The sequence below is a fragment of the Homo sapiens genome, chromosome 19, assembly GCF_000001405.40.
Source record: "Homo sapiens chromosome 19, GRCh38.p14 Primary Assembly".
NCBI lineage: Eukaryota > Metazoa > Chordata > Mammalia > Primates > Hominidae > Homo > Homo sapiens.
In genome coordinates this window covers 19,227,221-19,252,536 of record NC_000019.10, presented here as the reverse complement: position 1 = coordinate 19,252,536, position 25,316 = coordinate 19,227,221, and the positions used below count along the sequence as shown (strand labels likewise).

General features: G+C 50.3%; 1 protein-coding gene and 1 pseudogene across 1 annotated transcript in view; both read right to left on the bottom strand.

Annotated features, from left to right (window-relative positions):
• Positions 1-303: 303 nt before the first annotated feature.
• NCAN (neurocan) overlaps positions 304-25,316 on the bottom strand; it is a 40,276-nt gene continuing 15,263 nt past the window's right edge. The window contains exons 8-15 of the mRNA NM_004386.3: positions 23,898-25,256; positions 18,632-18,748; positions 17,441-17,554; positions 14,126-14,284; positions 11,852-11,934; positions 7,080-7,224; positions 3,655-3,837; positions 304-2,771 (exon numbers count right to left, since the gene is read on the bottom strand). Of these exons, the coding sequence (NP_004377.2) occupies positions 2,626-2,771; positions 3,655-3,837; positions 7,080-7,224; positions 11,852-11,934; positions 14,126-14,284; positions 17,441-17,554; positions 18,632-18,748; positions 23,898-25,256 (2,306 nt within the window). The 3' untranslated portion in view covers positions 304-2,625. The remainder of the gene's footprint in view (positions 2,772-3,654; positions 3,838-7,079; positions 7,225-11,851; positions 11,935-14,125; positions 14,285-17,440; positions 17,555-18,631; positions 18,749-23,897; positions 25,257-25,316) is intronic.
• RNU6-1028P (RNA, U6 small nuclear 1028, pseudogene) lies at positions 19,590-19,682 on the bottom strand (annotated as a pseudogene).

Here is a 25,316-nt window from a genome sequence, read left to right as displayed (position 1 = left end):
TGGGATTACAGGCATGAGCCACTGCGCCCGCTCCCTTCTGCAAGAAGACTTTTGCTTTCACTCTTTCCTCTGAGTGGAATGCCTTTCCTTTCTTTCTCTCCTCATCTAGTTAATGCGACTTCTTCTTTAGATTCCATTCCCCTCCTCGGGGAAGCCTTCTGTGACTACCCACTAAAGACCAAACCTTCTCTGTTCACCACTATCTCCCCAGCACCCAGTACAGTACATGGATCACAATAGCTGCTCGGGTAAATACTTGCTGAATGAATGAATGAATGAAGGTATCAGGTGGTGACGGGCAGGTTGAACTGTTAAAAAATTTATTAAAATGTCCAAGAAGTACATTAATGTCCACAGTGTCAGATACCACAGACCCACAGAACACTGCAGCTCACAGCAAAACCAGCAGGACCCAAAGCCGTTCACACGCACACACACTCATATGCGTGCCACGCACATGGCACACGCAGACACACACGCACATCCAAAAGGGAAAGATCAAAAGACAAACCGCCCACTTTAGAAAAGACCAGAGCCCCCTCCCACCATGGAGCCGAGGTGGGGGCAGGGCAAACGGCTGAGGGGCTCAAGGGCAGGGAGCATAAACCAAGACCCCCCAAAAAACACTGCATCCCCAGCCCCCCGCAAACAAAGGAAAATTTTTGTGTGACATAGATGACCAAAGATGTGTTATTATTATTATTTTAAACTAAGAAGAGTTATCAAAGTAAGAAGACAAACCTGTATCCCTGGGTTTTCTGAATAATAACCATAATAAGATAGATGTCTACAGGGAGGAAGATTGAAGACAAGGATAAGGGTTCAGTTTACACTTCTTAACCATTTCCTAAATGTGTATGAGGGTGCAATTATATTTCAATCTCCTCTCCAGAGTCCAGAGCAGGATTTGGGTCAGAACCAAGATGGGAGTTGGCTCTGACTTCTGGATTTGGAGTAAGGATTTGGTGATGGAGAGAAAGTGTAAGCAGAGCCAGAGTAAGGATTTGGTCCAGAAAACAGGACCAAATCCTTATTCCAAATCCTTACTCCTGTCGTGGTTGTGACTTCAAGCCAGTACCTTTCCTTTATATCTGAGCCTCAGTTTCACTGTGTGTAAAATGGGAAAGTAACAGTTTCTAAGTCAATGGGCTATTGAGAAGATTCAAGGAGATTGTATGTAAGTCTTTAGCATGGTGTCTACTTCTTAGTTGTCAATGGTCATTATTACTTCCCAGAAGGGATTCAGGCTCAGTTAACACATTTCTTTCTTTACTGAACCCCTAGGTGGACCATTCATTTGCTTATTTTTCTTTCCTGAAGAGGGCCATTCTCCACGGTGCTTTTTTAACCCTGATCCACAGATTTTACCCGGACTGCTGAAAGTGAGTAACAGACATGGAGGAAAAGCTGTGGATCTTTCCTGCCAGAGATGAGGGAACTGGATCCTGGCCCCTGGTGTGGAGAGACCTTTTACAGGTTGCACATTTGGGGGAGGAAGGCAAGGTGAGTTCTTTCCCACTTAAAAAATTAAAATCTACAAGAGAAAAATGTGTGTGTGTGTGTGTTTGTGTGTTTCAGTTTTAACACTGAGCATCTCTCTACAATATGACCGCAGGTAGGTGTCACTACTTCAAGTTTTAAGTGTTTCTAGACCACCAGGCAATGGCCAGGGACAAGGGTGGGGTGGGGCAGGAGTGGGACCCAGGGCAGGGGCACTACCAATGTCTGCTTAAGGACTGGGTATGTGCACTGGGCTAGAAAACTTGGCAGCACCTCCTTGGTCCAGGAAGGAGGTTCTTTGTCTCCCTGAGAGATGGAGGGGGAAGAAATCTGGGCTCATCTAGCCCTAAATATCCTCTCGTCTATTTGTGTGAAAGAGATTCATCACACATGCAGAACCACCAAATCTCAGCGCTGGACTAGACCTGGAAGGGTTAGCAATACACTCTCCCTCCATCACCTACATATTGCTTTGATCATTCTCACTCCTAACTCTGAAGGCATGGAGGGAGGTTGTCCTAAAAACATCCCTAAAATGCAGTACGTGGGATCTCCACACTGTGTGTTTATCCACCAAGACCAAAGACGGAACTTGGGCTGAAGTCCAGGGTAAAGGGAGAGCTGTTGTCAAGTTCAAAAACAGTGTGCTTCTGTGTAGCCTTCTATTCCCAAAGCTAATGACCCTACGTCCAGGCTTCTTCCTGGATTTAGGAATTCAGCCAACATTGACTAAGTCTGAATTTCTGGTGTGAAAAGCAATTCCTTCATGTGAATGCAAACATACACTCATGCACCCTCATCAAGGCCTGCTTCAATCAGCCTGGCAAACAAGAGACCAGACCAATGAGCTTTGCTACTTGTGCTTCCCTCAGCTGGGACACACTCCCAGAGTTCAGCCAGACGAGAATGAACTTTTCAGACACCTGGCTCCACCTGCCAAGAGGATCTTGTGTATGTAAAAAAAGGGAAAAGAGGAGCTTTGTACAAAGGATTATGTGTGTGGGGGATGTGGTTTGGGGTTCAGGGACTTCTGGACTCTCTTGTTTCTCTCTGGGTTCTGTCTCCCCAGGCGAAGGCTCCAGAGGAGGCATGGGAAAGGTGTTGTGCTTTCTTTTTTCTGGTTCTTCAGCAGAAATTCCCTTCGTCCTTCTCCCAGTCCTCCGTTGGGTGTTTCTTGTGTTTTCTGCGCTCCTTGCGGGATTTGTGGTGGTGATGCTGGTGGTGGTGTTGGTGGTGGTGGTGGTGTCGCCGCATCCGATGTGAACGTCTGGCTGCAGGGAAGTGAGGGAGGACAGGGAAGGGACAAAAGGTGGTGAGAGGCAGGTGGCCTGATGCAGCGGGTGTCCTTGGGAGAGAAAGTAGAGGAAAGAGGCCAGACGCGAGGGCTCATCCCTGTCATCCCAGCACTTTGGGAGGCCAAAGTGGGAGGATCTCTTGAAGCCAGGAGTTTGAGACCAGCTTGGGCAACATAGCGAGAACCTATCTCTACAAAAATAAAAAAATTAGCCAGGCGTGGCGGCACATGCTTGTAGTCCCAGCTATTTGGGAGGCTGAGTTTGGAGGATCCCTTGAGACTGGGAGGATGAGGCTATAGTGAGCTGTGATTGAGCCTCGCACTCCAGCCTGGGCAACAGAGTGAGGCTCTGTTTCAAAAAAAACAAAACCAGGCCGGATGTGGTGGCTCACGCCTGTAATCCCAGCACTTTGGGAGGCTGAGGTGAGCTGATCACATGAACTCAGGAGTTCGAGATCAGCCTGGCCAACATAGTGAAACCCTGTCTCTACTAAAAATACAAAAATTAGCCGGGCATGGCAGTGGACACCTGTGATCCCAGCTACTCAGGAGGCTGAGACACAAGGATCGCTTGAACCCGGGAGGTTGCAGTGAGCCGAGATTGTGCCACTGCACTCCAGCCTGGGCAACAGAGCACAACTCCATCTCTCTCTCATACACATACACACACACACACACACACACACACACACACACAAATGAAGGAAACATCAGACAGGCTGGTAAGTTCTCACTTATCTGCAAGGCTGTATTATCAGGCAGACATTAAGCCAGATCAATGTGTGGAGAAATAGGATGTCTTACTTGGAAACTAGAAATACCAAAAACCTATGTTGAGATCTCTGGGAGAAGCTACTTACGTTTGGTGCAGACAATTTGGGGCCTGTCCCACTTGCCATTGCTCCGGCATCGAATGGTGGCCACATGGTGCTGGGCAAATCCTTCATTGCACTGGTACCTTACAGTGGCATGGACATTGTACTTGGCCTTGCGGGCACCGATGAGTGAGGCATTCTCCACTGCCGGAGGGGGACCACAGAGCACTGGGACAGAGGAATCTCTAGTGAGAGAGGTGCTCACATCTGGGGCTAAACTAGTTGTTGTTGTTGTTGTTGTTTGAGACAGAGTTTCGCTCTGTCACCCAGACTGGAGTGCAGTGGCGCGCTCTTGCCTCACTGCAACCTCCGCCTCTCTGGTTCAAGCGATTCTCCTGCCTCAGCCTCCCAAGTAGCTGGGATTACAGGCACCTGCCTGTAATCTACACCTGGCTAATTTTTGTATTTTTTTGTTCCTTTTTTGAGACAGGGTCTCACTCTGTCTCCCAGACTGGAGTGCAGTGGCGTGATCTCGGCTCACTGCAACCCCTGCCTCCCAGACTCAAGTGATTCTCCTGCCTCAACCTCCCGAGGAGCTGGGATTACAGACATGCACCACCATGGCTGGCTAATTTTTGTATTTATAGTAGAGACCGGGTTTCGTCATATTGGCCAGGCGGGTCTTGAACTCCTGACCTCAGATGAGCTGCCCACCTTGTCCTCCCAAAGTGCTGGGATTAAAGGCATGAGCCACCGTGCCTGGCTCTTATTGTTGTTTTTAAAAGAGCGTCTTCCTTTGTCGCTCAGGCTGGAGTGCAGTGGCACAATCACAACTCACTGCAGCCTCAACCTCCCAGGCTCAAGGGATCTTCCCACCTCAGCCTCTCAAGTAGCTGAGACTACAGGTGCGCACCACCGAGCCTAGCTAATTTTTTGATTTTTTGTAAAGACAGGGTCCCACTATGTTGCCCGGGCTAGTTTTGAACTCATGGGCTCAAGCTGAGTTTTATTGGGAATGACACCCCCCTCAGCTCGTCAACAGGTCCCTGCCTCTGCCCAGTTCTTATCTCACAGGGCTGGAAGTGACTGTGTCTGTCTGTCTCTTCTACCCAAATCAGCAGCTCCTTAGGGACAGCAACCTCCCGGACACACCTCACTTTCTAATTCTTACACCAAACATAGGGCACAATGGGAATGAAGGAGACAGACGGCAATAATAATTATCTGAGCAAATAAAGGCCGGGTGCGGCAGCTCAGGCCTGTAATGCCAGCACTTTGGGAGGCTGAGGTGGAAGGATTGCTTCAGTCCGGGAGTTTGAGACCAGCCTGGGCAACACAGCAAGACCCTGTCTCTACAAAAAAATTTTAAAATAAGGGCCGGGTGCGGTGGCTCACACCTGTAATTCCAGCACTTTGGGAGGCCGAGGCAGGCGGATCACAAGGTCAGGAGATCGAGACCATCCTGGCTAACACGGTGAAACATCGTCTCTACTAAAAATACAAAAAATTAGCTGGGTGTGGCAGCGTGCGCCTGTAGTCCCAGCTGCTGAGGAGGCCAAGGCAGGAGAATGGCGTGAACCCGGGAGGCGGAGCTTGTAGTGAGCCGAGATTGCGCCACTGCACTCCAGCCTGGGCGACAGAGCAAGACGCCGTCTCAAAATAAATAAATAAATAAATAAGCCAGGCATGGTGGTGTGCACCCGTAGTCCAGCTACTGGTAAGACTGAGGTAGGAGTATCACTTGAGCCCTGGAGTTCAAGTGATCTGCAGTGAGCCGTGATAATGCCACTGTACTCCAGCCTGGGCAACATTGCAAGACCCTGTTTCAAAAATAAATAAATAAATACATGAATAAATGGGGGGGAGGATGTGAAAATTGACAAAGAAATGGAAACAAAAATAAACCAAAGTATAAAATAAAGGTGGATGTACAAATGTATACAAATGATTTCTTTCATATATAAAGATCTCTTAAAAATCAGTAAGATCAACAAGTCAATAGAAAACTGGGCAAAAGAGATGAATTGACAGTTCACAGGGAAAGAAATATATGCCAACAGGCTGTCAACATATAAACAGTTGGTTAGGCCAGACACGGTGGCTCACACCTGTAACCCCAGAACTTTGGGAGGCTGAGGCAGGCAGACTACTTAAGGTCAGAAGTTTGAGACCAGCCTGGTCAACATGGTGAAACCCCGTCTCCACTAAAAATACAAAAACAAAAAAAAAATTAGCCAGGTGTGGTGTGTGCCTGTAATCCCAGCTACTCGGGAGGCTGAGGCAGGAGAATCGCTTGAACCTCAGAGGCGGAGGTTGCAGTGAGCCGAGACTGCAATACTGCACTCCAGCTTGGATGACAGAGTGAGACTCCATCTCAAACAAACAAACAAAAAACAACTGGTTATTCTCATCCTTAAAGGCATGCAAACTAAGATAACAATGAGATACTATTTTTCCCCACTTAGATGAACAAAGAACAAAAGTTTAAGAATGTGCAGAGTTAGCAAGGGTGGGAGGAAACAAGCACTCTCATACGCTGGTGGAAAGTGAGAACTGGCTGCACTGACATTTACCAACTTAAAAAGATGAAGGCGAGGTGCAGTGGCTCATGCTTGTAATCCCTGCCCTTTGGGAGGCCGAGGTGGGTGGATCACCTGAGGTCAGGAGTTCGAGACCAGCCTGGCCAACATGGTGAAACCCCGTCTCTACTAATAATATAAAAACCAGCTGGGCGTGGTGGCATACGCCTGTAATCCCAGCTACTCAGGAGGCTGAGGCAGGAGAATCACTTGAACATGGGAGGCAGAGGTTGAAGTGAGCCAAGAGCATGCCTTTGCACTCCAGCCTGGACAACAAGAGCGAAACTGTCTCCAAAAACATAAATAAGTAAAAACAAAATAAGAATAAATTAAAAAAATAAAATATAATCCCACCCACCTTGGCCTCCCAAAGTGTTGGGATTACAGGCATGAGCCACCCCGAGCGGCCTATTTCCAGAACTTTTTCATCACAACACACCAAAATTCTATACCCATTAAGCACTAGTGACTCCCCCTTCTCCCAAACCCTAGCCCCTGGCAAATACTAATCTACTTCTTGTCTCTAAATTTGTGTACTCTGAATGCTTCATGAAAAAAAAAAATGAATCAAGGCTGGGCACAATGGCTTATGCATATAATCCCAGCACTTCGAGAGGCTGAGACAGGCAGATCGCTTGAGCCCAGGAGTTCGGGACCAGCCTGGGCAACATGGCAAGACCCCATCTCTACAAAAAATACAAAAATTAGCTGGGCATGTTGGTGCATGCCTATAGTCCCACCTACTCGGGAAGCTGAGGCAGGAGGATGGCTTGAACCCAGGCGGTGGAGGCTGTGATGAGCCATGATTATGCCACTGCACTCCAGCCTGGGCAACAGAGAACCAGTGAGCAAAAGTGACAGAGAGGAAAAGAAGCAGGGGGCACAGCATACCTGTGCCCTTCTTGCAGACATAGGGTAGGTTGTAGTTGCAGGGGACATCGTTCCAGCGCCCGCTTTCATGCGCCACCATCACCACACAGTCCTCGCCACCCGCGAAGAAATTGTCCGGCTGGTTCTCTCGCCAGTTCTCAAATTGCTGCAGGAATAGGGGGCAGGGAGTTGTTCAGGGGACCTCTGTTCCAGCCCAGGTTCTGGCAATTCCTGCTGTGGGACTCCCCTGGCCAGACCCCTCAAACTCACAGGGATTCAGTGTTCCCATCTCTACAATGGCCACTGTCCTGCCCATCCTGACGGGGGCCACCACTGTAATCCAATACACCATTCCTCTGGTTTGGAGGCTGCAGCATTCTCCTCCCTGGTCCTCCTGCCTCCCTGGGTGCCCGGCCGCACCCAGTTCATTTTCAACATGAATCAGTGTTAGATAAGTGGTGGGACAAGGCCAGGCCTGGTGGCTCATGCCTGTAATCCCAGCACTCTGGGAGGCCGAGGTGGGCGGATCACCTGAGGTCAGGAGTTCAAGACCAGCCTGGTCAATATGGTGAAACCCCATCACCACTAAAAATACAAAAAATTAGCCAGGCATGGTAGTGGGAGCCTGTAATCCCAGCAGGAGAATTGTTTGAACCCGGGAGGCAGAGGTTGCAGTGAGCCGAGATTGCGCTATTGTACTCCAGCCTGGGTGACAAGACCGAGACTCTGCCTCAAAAAAAAAAAAAAAAAGGAAAAGAAAAAGAAAAAAGATACATGGTGGGACAAATGGTGATCTCAGCCCGAAGTCCAGGAGGACTTCCCTGAGGAGGCAATGTGAGAGTTAAAGAATCAAAGATAGTAAGGATTCAAGGCCGGGCTCAGTGGCTCATGCCTGTAATCCCAGCACTTTGAGAGGCCAAGGGGGTCAGATCACTTGAGGTCAGGAGTTTGGGACCACCTTGGACAACAAGGTGAAACCCTGTCTCTCATAAAAATACAAAAATTAGCCGGGCATGATGGTGCGCGCCTGTAGTCCCAAGATACTCGGGATGCTGAAGCAGGAGAATCCCTTGAGCCTGGGAGGCAGAGGTTGCAGTGAGCTGGGTTGCATCACTGAACTCCAGCCCGGGTGATGGAGTGAGATTCTATCTCAAAAAAAAAAAAAAAAAGATAGTAAGGGTTCAGACAGGGAACAGCATTCCTAGCAAAGGGAACCACCAGTGTGAAGGCTCAGAGGCAGGACTGAACTTGTTCTGCTTGAGGAACAGACAAAGCCCAGTGGGGCTGGAGCTGCGTGATGGGGCTGGGGTGTGCTCAGAGAGTAGAGAGGGACCAGATCTTGCATCAGAGAAAAGGAAGTGAATTTTTAAAAATTGTGGCAAAATATATATAGCGCAAAATATATATAGCACATAATTCCTAATTTTAACCATTTTTGTTTTGTTTTGTTTTGTTTTGTTTGAGACAGAGCCCAGGCTGGAGTGTAGTGGTGCGATCTCGCTCACTGCTACCTCCGCCTCCCAGGTCCCGGTTCAAGCAATTCTCCTGCCCCAGCCTCCTGAGTAGCTGGGATTACAGGCATGCGCCACCATGCCCAGCTAATTTTTGTATTTTCAGTAGAGATGGGGTTTCACCATGTTGGCCAGGCTGGTCTTGAACTCCTGACCTCGCGATCCACCCACCTTGGCCTCCCAAAGTGCTGGGATTACAGGCGTGAGCCACCGCACCTGGCCAATTTTAACCATTTTTACGTGTGCAGTTTATTGTTATTTTTATTTTGTTGAGACAGAGTCTCTATTATCCAGGCTGGATTGCAGTGGTGCTACCTTGGCTCGCTGCAACCTCCGCCTCCCGGGTTCAAGAGGCGGTGTGCAGTTTAATGCACTAATTACATTCACAATGTTGCATAACCATCATTGTTATTTCCAGAACTTTTTCTTTTTCTTTTTTTTTTTTTTTTTTTGAGATGGAGTCTCTCTCTGTCGCCCAGGCTGGAGTGCAGTGGCATGATCTTGGCTCACTGCAACCTCCGCCTCCCAGGTTCAAGCGATTCTCCTGCCCCAACCTCCTGAGTAGCTGGGATTACACGTGCACGCCACCACGCCTGGCTAATTTTTGTATTTTTAGTAGACACAGGGTTTTACCATATTGGTCAGGCTGGTCTTGAACTCCTGACCTTGTGATCCATCCACCTCAGCCTCCCAAAGTGTTGGGATTACAGGCCTGAGCCACCCCGCACAGCCTATTTCCAGAACTTTTTCATCACAACACACCAAAATTCTGTACTCATTGAGCACTAGTGACTCCCCCTTCTCCCGACCCCAGCCCCTGGCAAACACTAATCTACTTCCTGTCTCTAAATTTGCCTACTCTGAATGCTTCATGAAAAAAAAAAATCATACAACAGCTGGCCTTCTATGCCTGGCTCATTCCACATTTTGTTTATTATTTTATTTTATTTTATTTTTGAGCCGGAGTCTCGCTCTGTCTCAATTTTTGAATTTTTTGTAGAGATGGGGTTTCGCCATGTTGCCCAGGCTGGTCTCAAACTCCACAACTCAAGCAATCCACCCACCTTGGCCTCCAAAAGTGCTGGGATTGCAGGCATGAACCACTGCACCTGGCCAACTTCTCCTTTATGGCCGAACAATATTCCATTGCATGGATGGACCACATTTTGTCTCTTCCTTCATCTGTTGATGGGTATTTTGGATGTTCCCACCTTGGCTATTGTGAATAGTGGGGCTGTGAACATTCATGTACAAGTTTTTGTTTGTTTGTTTGTTTTTTGAGACAGAGTCTCCCTCTGTCACCCAGGCTGGAGTGCAGTGACGCGATCTCGGCTCACTGCAACCTACGCCTTCCAGGTTCAAGCGATTCTCCTGCCTCAGCCTCGCAAGTAGCTGGGACTACAGGCATGTGCCATCACACCCAGCTATTTTTTTATTTTTAGTAGAGACAGGGTTTCACCATGTTGGCCAGGCTGGTCTTGAACTCCCGACCTCAGGTGATCCACTCGCCTCGACCTCCCAAAGTGCTGGGATTACAGGCGTGAGTCACCCACCACGCCTGGCCTGTTTTGTTTTGTTTGAGACAGGGTCTTGCTCTGTCACCCAGGCTGGAGTGCAGTGGTGCAATCATAGCTCACTGGAGCCTCAACCTCCTGGGCTCCAGCGATCCTCCTACTTTGGCCTCCCCAAAGTGCTGGGATTACAGGTGTGAGCTACCACACCCAGCCTCTTTTTCTTTCTTAGTACAATTTTTTGTTTGTTTGTGTTGTTTTGGAGATGGAGTCCTGCTCTGTTGCCCAGGCTGGAGTGAAATGGTGTGATCTTGGCTCACTGCAACCTCTGCCTCCCGGGTTCAAGTGATTCTCCTGCCTCAGCCTCCCAAGTAGCTGGGATTCCAGGTACATGCCACCACACCCAGCTAATTTTTGTATTTTTAGTAGAGATGGGGTTTCACCACATTGGCCAGGCTCTTCTGGAACTCCTGACCTCAAGTGATCTGCCTGCCTCGGCCTTCCAAAGTGCTGGGATCATAGGCGTGAGCCACTGTGCCCGGCCTCTGTGTATAAATTTAAAGGGTACAAGTGCAATTTTATTATATGCATATGCATATAATAAAATATATATCATCTAGTGGCAAAGTCTTGGCTTTTAGTGTATCCATGACCCGAATAATGTACATTTTTGTACCACTTTGAATCTCTGTTTTCAATTCTTCTGGGTATGTATCTAGTAGTAGAATCGCTGGGTCATGTGGTAACTCTATGTTTAACTTTTTATTTTTATTTTTATATTTTTAGAGACGGGGGTCTCACTGTGTTGCCCAGGCTGGATTCCAATTCCTAGGCTTAAGTGATCCTCCCGCCTCAGCTTCCCGATAGCTGAGACTACAGGCTCGTACCACTGTGCCCAGCTTCTATGTTTAACTGTGTGAGGAACCGCCAGATTTTTACACAGCGGGAGAAGGGGAATTTTTATCTTGAGAACAATGGAGAGTCTGGGAGGGCTTGAAGCAGGGAGGATGCTGAGCTAATATGTTTTTAGAGACAGGGTCTCGCTCTGTCACCCAGGCTGGAGTGCAGTGATGTGATCACAGGTCACTGCAGCCTTGAACTCCTGGGCTCAAGTGATCCTCCTCACTCAGTCTCCCAAAGTGCTGGGATTACAAGCATGGACCACCAGCCTGGCATATATATACTTTTTTTTTTTTTTGAGACAGGATCTCGTTCTATCATCACCCAGGCTGAAGTGCAGTGGAGTGATCTCGGCTCACTGCAACCTCCGCCTCACAGGTTCAAGCGATTCTCACGCCTCAGCCTCCTGAGTAGCTGGGATTAGAGGCGTGGGCCACCACACCCAGCTAATTTTTATATTTTTAGTAGAGACGGGGTTTCACCATGTTGGCCAGGCTAGTCTCAAGTGCCCACCTTGGCCTCCCAAAGTGCTGGGATTACAGGCATGAGCCATCATGCCCAGGCTAGAAATGAGAATATTTGAGAGACCATGGCTGGGGGACCAGGCAGAGTGAGTAGGGGAGGCATCAGACCCTAGTCTCAGGTTTGTAACCTCTGCAGCTTCGTGGGCGCGGTCTGTTTACTTGGGCTGGGGAAGTCAGGGGAGAAGGTTTAGCCTTCACTTGAAGCTCCTTTGCCAACTCCAGCATCTTGGAGCCACTAGAGACCTCTGACACCCAATTGCGATAACTTTGCACAAAAGGGTAAACTGAGGCCAGATGGCAGGGCTGATGTGGCTCAGCAGCCTAGGCCCGCAGCCCCTGCCACTCACCAGCCCGGTGTTGTCCGTCCACTGGAAATCTCTCTCCACGATCCTGTCGTTCAGGCCGATCCACGTGTTTTCATGCCCAAAGCCTGCAGGGTCGGGGGTTGTGGGTCTGGGTGTTCACCCATGCCTCTCCTGGCCCAGGGCACAGGCTGCAGGTGAGGTGGGGTAGGGTGTGGGAGGAAAGAATTCCTCACCTTCCCCAGCCTGGAGGTGGGCTGGGTGGGGGGAAAGATCTAGAAGGTGGAAATGAAGAGGGAAGAAGCAGGTACAGGGATGGAGGAGGACCCAGAGCCCCTCCCTCAGCCTCTCTGTGGGCTGGGGGCCGGGTGAGGTATGTATGGGAGGGGAAGACTCAGCCCCTTCCCCAGCCTGGAGGTGGGCTGGAGGTTGAGGTGGAGAGGGAAGGAGATAGAAGTGAAGTTTACAGAGGTGAGGGAGTACACAGATGCCCTCCCTAACCTCTGTAAGAGCTGGAGAAGGGAAGGGGGAAGGAAGGGAGAAGGAGAGAGATGAGGGGGAGGAAAAAGGAGGAGGAGTGAAAGGGAGGAGGGGCAGGAGTGGGAAGAAGGATGGGGAGGAGGGAGGAGGAATGGAAGGGAGGATGAGGAGCAGGAGGGAGGAGGGGGGAATGGGAGGAGGAGGGGGAGGAGAAAGGAGGAGAAAGATCAGTGGAAGAAGGAGGGGGAGGAGTGGGAGGGAGGATGGGGAAGAGAAAGGAGGAGGAAGATGAGTGGAAGGAGGAGGCAGAGGAATGGGAGGGAGGAAGGAGAGAAGAGGGAGGAGGAAGGGAAGGAGAAAGGAGGAGAAAGATGAATGGAAGGAGGAGGGGAGGAGTTGGAGGGAGGAGGGGGAAGAGTGGGAGATGAATGGGGAGGAGAAAAGAGGAGGAGTGGAAGGGAGGAGGAAGAGCAAGGGGAAGAGGAAGGAGAAGGAGGAGGAGTAGAAGGGAGGAGGCCTGGGGAGGAGCAGGAGGGAGGAGGGGATGAATGGGAGGAGGGAGAGGCAGGATGAGGAGCAGAAAGGAGGAAGAAGATGAGTGGAAGGAGGAGGGGGAGGGAAGGGGGAGGAGAGGAGAGAGGAAGAGGAGGAATGGGAGGAGGAGAGGGAGGAGGGGAGGGAGGATGGAGAGGAGAAAGGAGGTGGAAGATGAGTGGAAGGAGGAAGGGGAGGAGAGGAGGGAGAAGGGGAGGAGTAGGAGGGAGGAGGAGAAAGAATGGAAGGAGGAGGGAGAGGAGGGGGAGGGAGGATGGGGAAGAGGGAGGAAGAGGTATAGAAGGAGGAGGGGGAGGAGTGGGAGGGAAGATGGGGAGGTAGGAGGGAAAGGAAGGAGGAGGAGGGTAGGGGGCAGGCATGAACCCCTCTCCCAGCCTCAGTGTAGGCTGGAGGTGCATCCTCACCCCACCCTCCACAAGTGGGGACTCTGGCTACCCTCTTTTAGGGGGGTGAGGCATGGGAAGAACCGGAAGTAGGCCCAGGCTATCCCAGGGTTTGTGGCCAGGAGAAGCAGGAGTAAACCCGGGCACTGTTGCATCTTTGCAGAAATGAGAAGTAGGGGACAGGAGACGCCAGTGGGCGCTGGACGGGCAGATAGGTGAGAAGGCGCGAGCCAGTCGCTCAGGAGGGAGAGGCCCAGTGGGATACATCAAGGAAAAAGAAACAAATCAGGGAAGGAAGAAAGGAAGGAGTCACGAGGGATGGGATGGTGGCAAACGGAATAAACAGAATAAATGGATGGATGAGCAGAAGGCAGAGGGATAATGAATAAATCAATAAGTCCCGGATTACATGAATGGAACACTTGTCTCTCTCCTAGGTCTTTGAACACATTACAGGTGCTTCTCCCATCACCCTCCATCTCCTGGCCCTGTTTTGTTATCAGCACACATAGGATCTGTTGAATTACAGTATAGACTTATTTACTTAGATATTTACTTGTTTGTCTATATCCTCCCCAAGAAATGGTCACTCCCTGGGGACAAAGCAAAGTCAGCCTTGATTGCTGCTGTGCTGTGTCAATATTCCTGGAATGGTGCCTGGCATATAGCAGGTGCTCAGTAAATATTTGGTGAATGAATGAATGAAGTGAATGTATGAATTAACAAGTGAATTGACAGATTTCATGCATTAAGAAGCAGTCAGGGCTTGCGTTAATGAACACAGCTTTGGAAAGATGACGTCTTGAAAACCAGGGGAGGGATGCGATGCCCTGGCAAAAGGGCTACAAGTGCCACCCCTGCCCACCCTCCAGGCAGGTGGCCCCCTCCCCAGAGCCCCTACTATTAATGAAGCTGTGTTCCTCCGGTGAGTGGACGCTGGTCAGGTGGCCGGAGCGGCGGCGGCAGTCCTTCTCGGCATCTTCCCATGCCCTCCGGTGGGCAAAATAGCGGTAACAGTGGCCCTGGAACTTATGCCAGCCGCGGTCACAGCCCTCGGTGTCTGGGAGATGGGATAGGAGCGTGAGGGGGGGCTGGCCTTGGCCCAAGGCCTACCAGCCATGAGCACAGCCAGCCCACCAGAGAGAGGGCCCAATCCAAGGTCACTGCGGGGCGAAATCACCCCTCTCCCCATGCCTGGCCCCTCCTCCTGAGGCTCTGCTCTCCCAACCCTTTCACCTCCCATATTGACTTCTTTTTTTTCTTTTTTTTTTGGACAGGGTCTCACTCCGTCGCCCAGGCTGGCGTGCAATGGCACAATCTCGGCTCACTGCTACCTCCGCCTCCCATACTCAAGCAATCCTCCCACCTCAGCCTCCTGAGTAGCTGGGATTACAGGCGTGCGCCACCACGCCCACCTAATTTTGTATTTTTAGTAGAGATAGGGTTTCACCATGTTGGTCAGGTTGGTCTCAAACTCCTGGCCTCAAGTGATCTGCCCACCTCAGCCTCCCAAAATGCTGGAATTACAGACGTGAGCCACCACACTGGCCAAATCTTAATGTCTTTTCTTTGTTTCTGGAAGAGATTTAACTGGGAGATCATTCCCTGACACCCCCTCTCATTCCAATGCTGAAGGCTCCTTCTCTGATGTCGGGGCCACACCCTTCGTATGGACATGGGAGCTCAGACATTTCTCCACAGAAGACATACAAATGGCCAACAAGCACATGAAAAGATGCTCATTGTCAATGTCAAAACCACCATGAGATATCACTTCACACCCACTAGGATGGAGATATATATATATAAAATTTTTTTTTTTTTGAGATGGAGTCTGGCTCTGTTGCCCAGGCTGGAGTGTAATGGTGCGATCTTGGCTCACTGTAGACACCACCTCCCAGGTTCAAGCAATTCTCCTGCCTCAGCCTCCCAAGTACCTGGGATTACAGGCACGTGTCGCCATGCCTGCTAATTTTTGTATTTTTAGTAGAGATGGGGTTTCTCCATGTTGGCCAGGATGGTCTTGATCTCCTGACATGATCAGCCTGCCTTGGCCTCCCAAAGTGCTGGGATTACATATAATTTTTTTTTAAAAGGAAAAGTAGGCTGAGGATGGTGGTTCATGCCTGTAATCCCAGTATTTTGGGAGGTCGAGGCTGGTGGATCACTTGAGGCCAGGAGTTCAAGACCAGCCTGGCCCCATCTCTACTAAACTTCAAAAAAAAAAAAAATTGAGTCACGTGTGGTGGTAGGTGCCTATAGTCCCAGATACTGGGGAGATTGAGGCACAAGAATCACTTGAACCGGGAGGTGGAGGTTGTAGTGAGCCAAGATCACACCACTTCACTCCAGCCTAGGTGACAGAGTGAGACCCTGTCTCAAAAAATAAAAATAAAAAGAAATTAAAAAAATAAAAATTAGCCAGGCATGGTGGCACAAACCTGTAGTTCCAGCTACTGGGTAGGCTGAAGCAAGAGAATCGCTTGAGCCTGGGAGTTCAAGGTGACAGTGAACTATGATTGTACCACTGTACTTTCCAGCCTGGGCACAGAGTGAGAACCTGTTTCAAAAAAAAAAAAAAAAGGCCAAGCACAGTGGCTCATGTCTGTAATTCCAGCACTTTGGGAGGCTGAGGCAGGAGGATCACATGAACCCAGGAGTTTTAGAGCAGCCTGGGCAACATGGCAAAACCCCATCTCTACAAAAAAAAAGTAAATTAAACCTAGAGTTACCATATGACCCAGCAATTCCACTCCTGAGAGTATACACCAAAAAGAGTAGAGGGAAAAAAAAGAATGGCAAATAGTTATTCAAACAAAAACACATACAAGAATATATTCACAGCAGCACTATTGACCTTAGCCTCTGGAGGAAACAACCCAAATATCCATCAAACCATGAATGGATAAACAAAATGTGATATAGCCATACAATGGAATACTACTCAGCCATGAAAAGGAATGAAACACTGATTCATATTACAATACAGGTGAACCTTGAAAACATGCCAAGTGAAAGAAGCCAGACACAAAAGACACATATTTTGAGATTCCATTCATATGAAATGTCTAGAACAGGCAAATCCACAGAGACAGAAAGCAGATTAGTGGTTGCCAGGGACTGGGGAATGGGAATAGGGAGTGACCACCTAGTGGGCACAGAGTTTCCTTCTGGGGTGTTGAAAAAGTTCTGGAACTAGACAGAGGTGATGGCTGTACAACATTGTGATTGTACAGAATGCCACTGAAATGTACACTTTAAAATGGTTAATTTGGCTGGGCTCAGTGGCTGTAATCCCAGTAGTTTGGGAGGCTGATGTGGACAGATTGCTTGAGCTCAGGAGTTCAAGACCAGTCTGGGCAACATGGTGAAACCTTGTCTCTACAAAAAATACAAAAATTAGCCAGGCATGGTGGTGTGTGCCTGTAGTCCCAGCCTACTGGGGAGGCTAAGGAGGGAGGATCACTTGAGCTTGGGAGGTCAAAGCTGCAATGAGCCAAGATCGCACCACTGCACTCCATCCAGCCTGGGTGCCAGGGTGAGACCCTGTCTCAAAAAATAAAATAAATTTAGCTAGGCGTGGTGGCGTGTGCCTGTAATCCCAGCTACTCGGGAGGCTGAGGTAGGAGAATCACTTGGACCAGGGAGTTGGAGGTTGCAGTGAGCTGAGATTGTGCCACTACATTCCAGCCTGGTGACAGAGCGAGACTCTGTCTCAAAAAAAAAAAATAAAATAAAATAGGGCAGGCGCAGTGGCACATGCCTGTAATTCCAGCACTTTGGGATGCCAAGGTGGGTGGATCACCTGAGGTCAGGAGTTCAAGACCAGCCCGGCCAACATAGCAAAACCCCATCTCTACTAAAAAATACAAAAATTAGCCAGGCGTGGTGGCGGGCGCCTGTAATCCCAGCTACTTGGGAGGCTGAGGCAGGGAAAATTGCTTGAAACTGGGAGGTGGGGGTTGCAGTGAGCTGAGATGGCGCCACTGCACTCCAGCCTGGGTGACAGAGCAAGATTCCATCTCAAAAAAATAATAAAATAAAGTAAAATGGTTAATTCTATGTTACGCACAGTTTGTCTAAAAGAATAATTTATCTTGTGTCAGGCTCACAGCCATGGAACTGGAGGCAGGGACCTGGAGTATGTGGGGAAGCCTGTGGCTGGGCACCCAACCCCACTCTTGGTACTGTTTCTGGTGTTGCAATAGAAACTCACCTTTCTCACAAAAGCTGCCCCCATAGCTGGGGAGGCAAAGGCAGACAAAGCCATTGACCTCATCAATACAGGTGCCTCCATTCTCACAGGGGCTGCAGAGGCAGTCATCAATGTCTGGCAGAGAGGGGAAGAGACTGAGTTAGAGGTCAGCTTCCCCTTGGCTCTGAGCCCCCACAGGAAACTAAGCAGAAGATGGGGTCATGGTCCTACCATCCATCCTGGACCTAAGTGCAGCAGTCACAGTTTGCACAGATGGCCCAATGACTCTGCAGGCAAGGGGGTGGAACCTCATACAATTAACATAAATTAGCATTAATGAGAGCAGATGCCACTGGGGCAGCTGAGAGCCAGGATGTGCAGACTGTTCTACCTGACTCTAGAGAAGTGAAGGTTATACTCTCAAAAACAGGCTCATAGAATGCTGAAGCTGGAGTCTCTTTTAGGCATTTGCAAAGACTTGCACAGAGTCACAAAGCTGTTTGTGGGTAAAGCTAGATATTCATTGAGCTCCTCTTCTACTGGTCCATGTGTAGACAGTGCTTGAGGCACGTATGGCACTGGGCAAGTCACTTCCCCTCCTTGAAACTCAGCTTACTTTTTTTGAAAATGGTAATAATAATGGGCTCCTACTCAAGGATGATTGTGAGTAGGGAAGCAATAGAAGAGCTCAAGAAATTATATCATTTATATTTATTGTTATAATTCTGTAATCAGTCATGTGGTTGTGAAGGTTGTGAAGTCAAGATGACACATAGAGCTCAAAAAATTATGTCATTTATATTTGTTGTTGTAATTTCATAATTGGTAGTATTTCTTGTGTTGGGCTTTGAAGCTAGCACCCAACAGTTCTGGTGGCAGTGCTTATACCTCCCACCGACCCAGGAAAGGGCAGGATCTCCAAAGGGCCTTTGCAGGGAGGAGTCTCAGACATATAATTCCTTTGTCTTTTCCTTCCCACCTCTGACTGGTAGTAATGGGAGACAGCACACCAGAGATGAAAGCTCAGCTGTTTGATTCTGGTTCCACTAACTGGGCTGATTTAGCTGAATGCAAGGAGTGGGGTTTGGGAATGGAGCATCTGAAACCAGCTTTTTGTGATCTCTGAATTCTGAGGGCATGGCTGCTGGAGTACAACCCAAGGCTCTGGAGTCAAACAAATTCAGATTCAGATCCTGAGTCTGGGGTACTCACCAATCTCACAGTTCTCCCCGGCGAAGCCCTGATCACAGCTACAGCCATACATGGTGCCATTGGCATTACATGTCCCTCCATGAAGACAAGGGTTGTTCTCACAGGGATCTGAGTGCACTGCAGGATGGATGGGTAGTGTGGGGAAGAGTCAGGCCACAGATCTTTTGCCTTCCTGGAATCAAGACCCCAGGCCCCCAAACCACTCTAATCAAACCCTCTCTATGGAGCCCTCTTTATAACTTCCCCAACCAGCGGTCACCAACTCCCTCCCATATGACCCCTGTTACGAGGAGTTTACTGCTTCCAGAAACTGCCCCAAAGCATCTGGGGACTTTCCTGCCTGTAGCAAAGTCCTTCCTCAGACTGAACTGGAATGGGGCTCCCAGAGACCAGGGCTGCCTGAAGGACCTCGTAGAATGTCTTCTCCCAGAACATGGGCTTCAGTGTCCTCCCTGACTTCAGTGTCCTTCCCCTCCTTTGGGCACACCCTGCTCATCACTGTGCTTCTCATGAATTGGGGCACAGGAGTGGACATAGGTTCTAGCCTGGGTGACAGACTGAAAAAAAATCCTCATCCTGCTCCAGCCAACCCAGATCCTGTCAGGGCAGCATCTGACCATTCCACTGCCCAGTGGAATTAAATTTTTTGAAAAATTAAATTAAAAAAAAAGAGGCCAGGTGCCATGGCTCATGCCTGTAATCCTAGCACTTTGGGAGGCCAAGGCAGGTGGATCACCTGAGGTCAGGAGTTCGAGACCAGCCTGGCCAACATGGTGAAACCCCATCTCTACTAAAAATACAAAAAATTAGCTGGGTATGGTGGCAGGAACCTGTAATCCCAGCTACTCGGGAGGCTGAGGCAGGAGAATCCCTTGAATGCCGAAGGCGGAGGTTGCAGTGAGCTGAGATCGCGCCTCCAGCCTGGGTGACAGAGTGAGACTCCATCTCATAAAAAAAAAAAAGAATGAAATGCTTCATTTTTTGCACAGGGGCTGTGCTAATCTTCTCTATATTGTTCTAATTATAGCATATGTGCTGCTGAAGCGAGCACTACTTTACTTTTTTTATTAGAACAATCGTTTCTTGTCTGTATCTTTCCCTAGAGCACTGGTGTTCCATATGGCAGCCACATATAGATATTCACGCTTAAATCAATTAAAGTGAAATAAAAGTAAAAACGTCGTCCCTCAGTTGTCCTAGCCATTTTTCAAATTAGCGTGGATAGAGAACATTTCCATCCCTGGGAAAGTTCTAGAATGTTGCTCTAGGACGTCAGTTTTCAGAGGAGAGGGGATTTGGTTTCAACATATGGTCTGGGACAGAATAGGCACTCAGTAATTGCTTGCTAACGGAATGAAGGTAGCAGCTGGCCCTCCTGCGGTAGCTGAGGCCTGTCCCTGGGGTGGCCCCATGGATGGCAAACGGGCTTGTGGATGGCAGGGCCTGTGGCTGGACGACGGCCCTGCACGTGTGTGCACACGCACAAGGCTGCCAGGCGGCGGGACACATGAGCCCCGCCAGGTGCCCCGCGCTGCTGACACCTGCCCACGGACTGGCGGTGACTCAGTCACTCGCTGGTACTGCATTTATTTTTGGCTTCATTAGCATTTCTTCTGCAAGCGGCGGGTGGGTAGCTGCCTGGGTCTCCCCAGCACTGCCCGCCAATCTCCATCCTGCTGTGGTTGGCTTCATTGTGGAGCCCAGGATCCAGAAAAGTCCAAGACAGACTCAGCCTCAGCCCAGGTGCAGCTCCAACCCCCGTTTCCTTAGTGTTCCTATGTGGTCGCCCTCCCACCTCTCTGACTGCCCCTTCTCTATTTCTTTGGGCATTGAGCTTCTTCCCCTCTGATCATCTTTCCAGGGTTGATCCCCACCTAGCCCGTCTCTTCTCTCCTCACCACCACCCCAAGATTAATTTTTTTTTTTGAGATGGAGTCTTGCTCTGTCCCCCAGGCTGGAGTGCAGTTGCATGATCATAGCTCACTGCAGCTGCAACCTCCCAGGGTCAAGCGGTCCTCCCACCTCAGCACCCCTGAGTAGCTGGGACCACAGGTACCCACCATGCCCGGCTAATTTTAAAATTTGTTTTGTAGAGACGGGGTCTCACTATGTTGCCAAGGCTGGTCTCCAATTCCTGGGCTCAAGTGATCCTCCGTCTCAGCCTCCCAAAGTGCTGGAATTACAGGTGTGAGCCATCATGCCCGGCCTCATGTACTTTTTTATGCCAACGAGCTAAGCATTTCGCAGCCTAGTGGCTGAGACAGAAGCTCTGTTTTCCGGCCAGGTGCGGTGGCTCACGCCTGTAATCCCAGCACTTCGGGAGGCTGAGGCGGGCAGATCACTTGAGTCAGGAGCTTGAGACCAACCTGGTCAACATGGTGAAACACCATCTCTACTAAAAGTATAAAAATTAGCCAGACATGGTGGTGCACGCCTACAATCCCAGCTACTCAGGAGGCTGAGGCATGAAAATCACTTGAACCTGGGAGGCGGAGGTTGCACTGACCTGAGATCACCACTGTACTCCAGCCTGGGCGACGGAGAAAGACTCTCTCTCTCAAAAAAAAAAAAAAAAGAAACCCCATGTTCAGATGACCTGGATTCAAACCCCAGCCTTGACACTCCCTTAGTTGCATGGCTGCACAAGGCACTTCACCTCTCTGTGTCTGTCTCCCTATCTGCAAAGTAAGGATCACACTGGAGCTTTTCCCATAAGGACATTAAAAGGATTAACCAAGATAACTCCAGTAAAGTGCTTTGAATAAGCCAAGCACACTGGCAGTAACCCATAAATGTCAGCCTTTATCGATACGGGGTGGGGCGGTCGGCCTGCCTCCTGGACATCTAAGAAAAAAAGAACTGCCCGGCGCTACGGCTCATGTCTGTAATCCCAACACTTTGGGAGGCCAAGGCAAGAGGATCACTTGAGCCCAGGAGTTTGAGACCAGCCTGGATAACATAGGGAGACCCCATCTCTACACACACACACACACACACACACACACACACACACACACACACAGCCGGGTGTGGTGGTTGCATGCCTGTAGTCCAAGCTACTGGAGAAGCTGATGTGGGAGGATCACTTGAGCCTCGGTGCAGTGAGCTATGATTGCACCACTGCACTCCAGCCTGAACAACTGACCAAGACCCTGTCTGGAAAAAAAAAAAAAAGGAAAAAAAAAAAAAAGATCCCACCCCAACACAGCCCAGAAGTGACAGGCTGGATGATGAAACCTGCATCAGCTATTTCCATCATCATGACACTTTGCCTTCAAAAAAACGGGCACTAGCTTGGGCAACATGGCAAAACCCTGTCTATAAAAAATACAAAAATTAGCCAGGCCTGTTGGTGCACACCTGGTCCCAGCTGCTTGGGAGCCTGAGGCAGAAGGATCACCTGAGCCTGGGGAGGTCAAGGCTGCAGTGAGCCACGATCTTGCCACTGCACTCAAGCCTAGGTGACAGAGTGAGACCCTTTCTAAAAAAAAAAAAAAAAAAATTTGGGGGTGGGGGGTGCGGTAGTTAAACATCAATGGTGTTAATAAAAGTGTGCAACTCGACTGGGTGCTATGGCTCACAGTTGTAATCCCAGCACTTTGGGAGGCCAAGGCAGGTGGATCACCTGAGGTCAGGAGTTCGGGACCAGCCTGGCCAACATGGTGAAGCCTTGTCTCTACTAAAAATACAAAAATTAGCCAGGCGTGGTGGCGGGAGCCTGTAATCCCAGCTACTCAGAAGGTTGAGGCAGGAGAATCACTTGAACCTGGGAGGCGGAGGTTGCAGTGCGCCGAGATCACACCACTGCACTCCAGGCTGGATGACAGAGTGAGACTCAGTCTCAAAAAACAAACAAAAAAAAAGTGTGCAACTCAGAAAAAAAGACTTATTAATTAGCTGCTTGTTTTGTTTTGTTAGTTTGATTTCATGCAGGGTCTCGCGGTGGAACTATCATAGCTCACTGCAGCCTGGCTAATTTCTTTTTATTTTTAGTAGAGATGGGGTCTTGCTGTGTTGGCCAGCCTGGTCTTAACTCTTGAGCTCAAGAGATTCTCCCACCTCAGCCTCCCAAAGGGCTAGGATGACAGGCATGAGCCATCACACGCAGCCTCTTTTTTGTTTGTTTGTTTCTAAATTTCATTTGGCCAAAAAACTCAGCTTAATTTGGCAGAACCTAAGAAGGGCTGGAATTTGCAGGCTGAGCTGAGGCTGACCTGGCCCCAGGGAGAACAGGGCAGCCGATTTCTATGGACGCTGCTGGCCACAGAGTAGCTAAGACTCAGGCTGACTTGGGCTCCAGTTGAGGTGTGACCACTGATTAGCCAAGCGGCGTTTTACCTCCCTGAGCCCCGGTTTGCTATCTGTAGAATGGGGGTGATTCTCGCCCCTTGCATGGCTCCCCAGCACCCACTTTCCCTGTGGCTTGAGGTCCCCCACGAGTCAAATCACCGAATTCCAGCTCCCATTCACATTTGTCCAGGAAACCCTCCCTGCCATGCCTCCTCCCTCTGGTCTCGCCTGGGAGGCGTCTGTGTCCTGCTCTGTCTTCCTCAGACTCGGGGAATCCTGGAAAGCCAGTCCATCACACCACTGTCCAGCTCAAAGCAGATGTAGACATGGCTTGTACCTGAACTCATCCCCAAATCAGACTCTACTCAATGCCTCGCCACTCCCACACTTTGTTTTTGTTTTTGTTTTTGACAGAGTCTCACTCTGTCACCCAGGCTGGAAGTGCAGTGGTACAATCTCAGCTCACTGCAACCTCCGCCTCCCGGGTTCAAGCGATTCTTATGCCTCAGCTTCCCCAGTAGCTGGGATTACAGGTGTGTGCCACCACACCCGGCTAATTTTTATATTTCTAGTAGAGACGGAGTTTTGCCATGTTGGCCAGGCTGGTCTTGAACTCCTGACCTCAAGTGATCTGCCCGCCTCAGCCTCCCAAAGTGCTGGGATTACAGGCATGAGGCACCATGCCCGGCCACTCACTACTCTCACACTTTGTTCATTGGGATGTATGCTCTGTGCCCGAAATTGATCAAGCGCTACTTCATCTCCTGGCCTTTGCCAGTGCTCGTTCCTCTGCCAGGAATGTCCTTTCTGAAATTCAACTCCACCTGATAAGCTCCTACCTCCAGCGTCATGCCCCACTAGAAAGCTTCCAGATCCCCAGGGACAACCATTCCTCCCTGCTCTGGGATCCCCCAGCCCCTGCTCCCCAAGCCCTGACCATGGAGAGCTGGACAGAGCCCCGGGACTTTGTACTCACCCTCCTCCGCACCTGCATTCATAGGGGTCCCTGGCAGGGCTGGCTCCTCTCCACTTGCCACCTCCTCCCAGAAGCTCTCTACACCCGGGCTCCCTGCCAGGACCTCCAGTTCGAAGTCCTCTATGCCCAGGGTGACAGGCAGCAGGGTGCTGGAGGGGTCCCACGGTACCGTAGGCTCCCCTGAGGAAACTGAGGCAGACTCGCCCACACTGGCTGCAGTCGGTGTCCCAGGAGGAACAGCCGGTTTCCCTAGGGGACTGCTCTGATGCGGAGGCACTGAAGCTCCTGATGTTCCCTGGGTCTCCACCTGATCCTCTGGCTCTGGGTGGGGTTGGGAGCTTGAGGAGCCCAGTGTAGACATGGCTGGAACTCCAACCTTGTCCCCCTGCTCCAGGGTCGTGAGGGGCGTCACAATGCTTGTATCCAGGGCCACCTGAGGGCTCAAGGTGGTGCTTTCGGCTTCTTCAAACACCTGGGATCCAGGTTCCCAAATTCCACTAGCATCACTGGGGGCCGGCGTGACTGTGGAATCCATGGGATTCACAGTGGGTCCTTCATCTGTAGCAACCCAAGGCTCCAAATTTGGGGTGACTTTGGGTACCAAGAAGACTCCAGGGCTCCCCAGGGGGGCAGATGGGGAACTTGCATCCAGCCCTTTGCTGTACACTGAGGGCCAGGGGTCCTGCACCTCATCTACAGTGGCCTGCAAGCCAGAAGTGGGGCTTTCTGCTGTGTCGAAGACCCCAGACTCAGACCCCGGGATACCCCTGAGGCCCGTTGGCTCAGTGGCAGTCTCAGTGGGGACAAAACCTACAGCCACATTCCTGTTTACAGAAGGCCATGGGCTGGAGCTGGAGTGCTCAGCTTTGTTGACCTGAGCAGGGCTGGTCTCCCCAGTTTCTCTGAAGTCTGCCCTGGGGGACTCAGGTGTTGTGGGCATGGCCTCTCCACCCTGTCCTGTTGGGGTCAAAGAGAGAGGCAGGGAATACACCTTGGTCTCTGCAGCAGGGGAGGGTGGAGCCGTGGCGGTGGCCTCACCATGTGCCTCAACTCTATTGGCCTCGGTGGAGATGGGGGTGGGGTGTGGTAGCATCCACTCTTTGGGACCACGCAGCATGGCCATCATAGGGAGATCTGGGGAGGTGGCCACAGGGAATGCCTCCCAGGGGGCAGGGCTGGGAGCTGAGACAGTGGCCTCCAAGGGGGACCAAAACAGGTCTGGGGTGGCTGGCCTGGCACTGGGGCCCTCGGCTTTCTCTAGCTCCAGGACAGGGGCCCTGCTGTGGCCTGAGATGCTGGGTGGGACCATGGTAGGGGGCCACAGCCAGGGCTCTGGGGAGCTCTTGCCACCAGCAGAACCTGCAACAACATCAAGGCAATCATTACAATGATCTCTCAGCAGCCCCTTTGGTTGGACTC